At 40.0% G+C, this 5,713-nt stretch overlaps 1 annotated feature.

Annotated features, from left to right (window-relative positions):
* Positions 417–1,616: an enhancer, noted in NCBI's record as "CDK7 strongly-dependent group 2 enhancer chr8:127059506-127060705 (GRCh37/hg19 assembly coordinates)". NCBI's record gives its function as "activates an origin of replication core promoter dependent on BRD2, BRD4, P300/CBP, MED14 and CDK7 cofactors, with strong dependence on CDK7, by STARR-seq in HCT116 cells {active_cell/tissue: HCT116}" and the evidence as "EXISTENCE:reporter gene assay evidence [ECO:0000049][PMID:35650434]".

Genomic DNA, 5,713 nt, shown 5'->3' with positions numbered 1-5,713 from the left:
ATCAGAAGGCATCTAGAGGTTTATATTAGCGTTTTGAAGATTGTTATTACTTAAAGTTTTGTAAGAAGGTAGAGAACACTTAGTGAGAACCATTTGAAGCCTGAGTAAGATTCCATACAGTTATTTCACCCAGTGTACAGTTGTAAAAGGCATTCCTTTACAGAGAAGCCACAGAGATTTGCATGGAAGAACAGTTATAGTTTCATCCGATCTGGTCTCAAGTTTATAGTCTTAAGTGAACTGATATATACATGGAGAAAGACCATCTATGACATTAATTAACAATGCATCTATTTAGAAATTTACTATTGTGGTTAAGGTATCTTGACTTATAAAAGTTGTACTGTATCAAAGACGGTGGTACTTATTAGTAAATGACATATGAGACAGCTACAAGTGCAACTTACCTTATCCATTCTACAACAACAGCCATCCAGCTCCCTAGACCAAGGATATCTAAGGATGCCACAATCTGAGAGTTATCAAAGTCTATGTGAAAATCCCATTGACAAAAGAGCTCTAAGCTCTTTTGGATTCAAATAAACCAAAACCCCAACACCAACTGATGTAAGCAACAAAAGCATGTATTGGCGCAGGTAAGTGAAAGGTGCAGAGATAATATGTTAGAAAAGTGTTTTCATTTTTTCAGGGTAGTAGATTGGATGTTTCTAAGTGCAGCAGCCACTTGGAAATAGCAAGAGTGAATAAAGATCAACTCTGTTAGCTTTACTTCAAGAAAGAAAATGGGAATCCACAGAAACATGAAGGACTCTCCAGATCCTGGCAAGGAGAATGCCAGCAAACAACCCTCATGATGGCATCAGGATGATAAAAGTGAGTGAATCTCCTATACGTGAGAGAAGCAGAGAGCCTCCCTCTGTGACTCACATTTCCACTGGGGATCAAAGAAAGCCAGGCCAAGGGAGAGCACTTTTTTTTTCTCCTGAGCCCCAGAGCTAACCTGGGGAGAGGCTTGGAGATACTGTGAAGGAAAGACAATGGGAAAAGCTGAAGACATTGCTTTTCTCAGATCTGGCAATTTTCCCAGATCTGGAAATACAGCAGGGCATCATTTTTAACCCAAATGGGCAAAGTCAGCCATTCTTGACCACCTAGCGGTGTGGCCATGCAGGCATTTTAGTCTTGGGCCAGAGATTGGAGCACCTGCTCTGGAGTAGGGTGGGGGCCTGGGCAGCCAGAACTGTGGAAAACGACTTAGCAGTCGATGCTAGAATTGTGCTCTCCCTGCTGCAAGTCTGGAATGATAAGAGAGCCGCTACAGCTGCAGTTTCTTCTGGACAGAGAGACTTACAGCCAGAGCCAGTTTGGTGATTTGAAACCTGTCTGTGTGTGCCATGGCTGGGTGCCCCACTCTTCTCCCCTGAGATCAGGGTGCAGCAGGGCCCTCTCTGATCCACCCTTTCACTCCCAGGTGAAAATCCAGGCATTTAGAGCACCCACTTACCTCAACTAGCAGCCTGAGCGGCCCCACCCTTCCTAGACATAGATTGTGGTGCAGTGAGGCCCTTTCCATTCCATGGCCAAGCAAATCTTCAGGCATTTGGAGCATGAGCTTGCTTGGATCAGCAGCCTGAGCTGCCCTACCATTCCTGTGCAGAGATCCTGGTGCAGGGGTAAGGGGGCCTTTCTGCTACAGGCTTATGCAGATCACTAGGCATTCAGAGTACCTGCTTAATTGGTTCAGCAGCCTGAGTCACCACACCTCTTCTGTGAAGAGATCTTGATGCAGGGTGATGCAGGGTGGGGCGGGTCAGGGTGGGGCTCCATGTTCAAGCTGACTTCCAGATATTTGGAGTACCTGCTCACCTAGATCAGCATCCTGACCCACCCAACCCTTCCTGTGTATTGATCCTAATGCAAGGAGGCCCTTTTTCCTTCATACTCAGGGAGATTTCCAAGAATTCAGAGTACTCCCTCATCTGGTTCAGTAGCCTGAGCCATTCTGCCCTTTCTGGACATAGATTATGGTGCAGCGAGCCCTTCTCTTCTCCATGCCCAGGCAGATCTCCAGGCATTCAGAGTACCAGCTTGCCCGGATCAGCAGCCTGAGCCACTCCACCCTTCCTGTGCAAAGATTCTGGGGTGGGGGGCACAGGGGCCTCTCTGCTATATTCCCAGGTAGATCTCCAGGCATTCAGAATACCTGCTTGACTGGCTCAGCAGCCTGAATTGCCCAATCCTCTTGTGAAGAGATCTTGGTGCAGGGGTGGGGGTGCCTCCCTACTCCATGCTCAGGCAGATATCCAGAAATCTAAGTCACCCACTGTCCTGGATTGGTTTAGGTGAACCCCTTACCCAAATAGAAAACTTGGGGCTGAGAAAGTTTTCCAGCTCCATGCCTAGAGACACTTCTGGGTGATTGGTGGCCACACAATGAATTCTCCCTTGGCACTTGTGCCAGCCACTGGGGGACTTGTAGGCAGACCTGCTTTGTCTGGCCCTATCCATTGTGGCCCCTGCTACCCTGGGGCGGAGCAGGAACTCAGACCACTGTGTATTCCATGAATCAGCTTATTGCAAGAGGCAGCAGAGAGTTTCTGCCAGTAAACAAGGATCAAGTACATACCCAGCTGTTCTGGCCAGCTCTTCCCTATAAATTTCCTCTATCAACTTGTAGATTGAACTGTATAGCACAATGTAAAATCTACTGAAAGAAGTGCATAGGGCTATAGAAGCTAAGCCAAAAGACCCTACCAAGCACTCTATACAGTCACATTCCTAGGGAGGGAAGAAAGGAAAGAAAAAAAAGCAATACTATCATAGGAAAAGAAAGAAAAAAGAATCCTACCTGCACGAAAGTAATTCTAGAAATTAGAAATGCCAGCATTTCCAGATGAGAAGGAATAGGGGCAAGAATTCTGGCACCATGATAAATCTGAATGTAGTGACACCACCAAAGAATTACACCAGCTCTCCAGCAATGGTTCCTAATGAAAATGGAAACTCAGTCAAAACAAATAGGAAATAAAAGCACAAATTGAAAGAAAGCTCAATGAGATCCAACATGAGGTTGAAAAGTTTTAACACAGAGAAACTTCTAAAGCAATCCAAAAATTAAGGAAGAGATAAACACCTTAAAAAGAAATCAATCAGCTTCTGGAATGAAAAGCTCACTTGAGGAATTTCAAAATAGAATAGAAACATTTATCTATAGATTGGACCAAACAGAGGAAAGAATTTCTCACTTGAAGACGGTTTGTTTGAGCTAACCCACTCAATCAAAAACAAAGAAGAGAGAATTGTATAAAATAAACAAGTCTTTGAGAAATATGGGATGATTAAAGTGACCAAACCTACAAATTATTGGCATTCCTAAGAGAGCAGGAAAATAAGTAAATAATCAGGAAAACATATTTGAGGAAATAATTCAAGGAAATTTGCTAGAGAAGTAGATATCCATATACAAGAAATCCAGAGAACATCTATGAGATACTACACAAAATTAATATCACCAAGGCTATGCTCACCAGACTATCTGAGATCAACAATAAAGAAAAAATCTTAAAGGCACTAGAAAAGCATGTGATATCACATATAAACAGAACCTCACAAGGCTAACAGTGAACTCAGCAGAAACCTTATAAGCCTGGAGATATTGGGGGCCTATTTTCAGCATTCTTAAAGAAAAAATTCCAACCAAGAATATCATGTCCTGCCAAACTAAGCTTCAGAAGCAAAAGAGAAATAAAATCTTTTCCAGACAAGCTAGTACTAAGGGAATTTGTTACCACTAGAGCAGCCTTGCAAGAGATCCTTAAGGGAGTTTTAAACATGGAAATGAAAGAACAGTAACTGTTGCCACAAAAATGCACGTAGGTACATAGCCCACAGACTCTATAAAGCAACCACACAATGAAAGGTACAAAGCAACCAGCTAACAACTTTATGATAGGATCAAAGACTGACATATCAATATTTACCTGGAATGTAAATGGTCTAAATGTCCAACTTAAAAGTCACAGAGTGGCAAGTCAGATAAAAAAAAAAATACAGATACACCTGTGTACCGTCTTCAAGAGACTCATCTCACATGTAATGATACCCATAGGCTCAAAGTAAAGGGTTGGAATAAAAACTGTACCACAGAAATGGAAAACAAAAAAGAGCAGAGGTTACTATTCTTATATCAGATAAAACAGACTATAAACCAACTACAGTAAAAAGGGACAAACAATGACATTATGTAATGATAAAGTATTAAATTCAACCAGAAGGCTTAACTATCCTAAATATATATGCACTCAATATTGGAATACCCAGATTTATAAAACAAGTACCTCTACATCTATGAAAAGATGTAGACAACCACACAATAACAGTGGTATATCTCAGAATCTCACTGAGCATTAGACAGATCACTGAGTCATAAAACAAAGATATTCTGGACTTAAACCCGACACTTGACCAATTGTTCCCAATAAACATCTACAGACTACTACACCCATGAACTACAGACTATGCATTCTTCGAATGTGTACACATAATATAGTCCAAGATTGACCACATATGCAGCCATAAAGCAAGTCTCAATAAATTTAAAAAAAACTGAATCATACCAGCCATACTCTCAGAATACAGCAGAGTAAAAAATAGAAATTAATACCAAGAACAGCTCTCAAAACCACATAATTATATGGAAAAAAACAACTTTCTCCCACAAGACTTTTAAGTAAACAATAAAATTAAGGCAAAAATCAAATAATTCTTTGAAATAAAATTAAAACAGAGATATAACATTTCAAAACCTCTGGGATAAATAAAAAATCATCAAGTTTATAGCACTGAACAAAAGAAGTGCTAAAGCAAAAGAACAAGTTTGTAGCACAAAAGCAAGAGTCAAGTTTGTAGTACTAAATGCCTATCTCAAAAAGTTGGAAAGATCTCAAATTAATGACCTAACATCACACTTAGAGGAACTAGAAAAACAAGAGCAAACGAACCCCAAAGGTAGCAGAATAAAATAAATAATTAAAATCAGAGGAGAACTAAATGAAATTAGACCAAAAATCCATACAAAGAACCAATAAAACCAAAAGTTTGATTTTTGAAAGAATATACAAGATCAATGAATTCTAGCTAGATTAGCAAAAAAAAGAGATGATTCGATATGCACAGTAAAAAACAACAAAGGTGACATTATAACCAATCCCATAGAAATAACAAAAGTTCCTCTGAGATTATCATGAACATCTCTATGCACACAAACTAGAAAATCTAGAGGAAATGGATACGTTATTGGAGACACATGATCTCCCAAGATTGAATCAGGAAGAAATTGAAATTGTGAACAGATCAATATCAAGTTCTGAAATTGAATCAGTAATAAAAAACCTACCAACCAAAAAAGTTCTAAACCAGATGGTTTCACAGCCGTATTCTACCGGATGTACAAAAAAGAACCAGCACCAGTTATACTGAAACTATTTCAAAAAATCAAGGGGATGGGACTCATTCCTAGCTCATTCTGTGTAGCCAGCATCACCCTAGTACCAAAACCTAGAAAGACACAACAAAAAAAGAAAATTAAAAGTCAATATCCCTTACGAACAAAGACATAAAAATCTCCAACAAAATACTAGCAAACTGAATCCAGTAGTACATCAAAAAGTTAATTCACCACGATCAAGTTGGCTTCATCCTTGATTATAAGTTTGGTTCAACAAAACACATATCAATAAATGTGACTCACTAC

This window comes from Homo sapiens, chromosome 8, assembly GCF_000001405.40.
Source record: "Homo sapiens chromosome 8, GRCh38.p14 Primary Assembly".
NCBI lineage: Eukaryota > Metazoa > Chordata > Mammalia > Primates > Hominidae > Homo > Homo sapiens.
The sequence above is the reverse complement of the archived record's forward strand: the minus strand, read 5'-3'. Positions and strand labels throughout refer to the sequence as shown.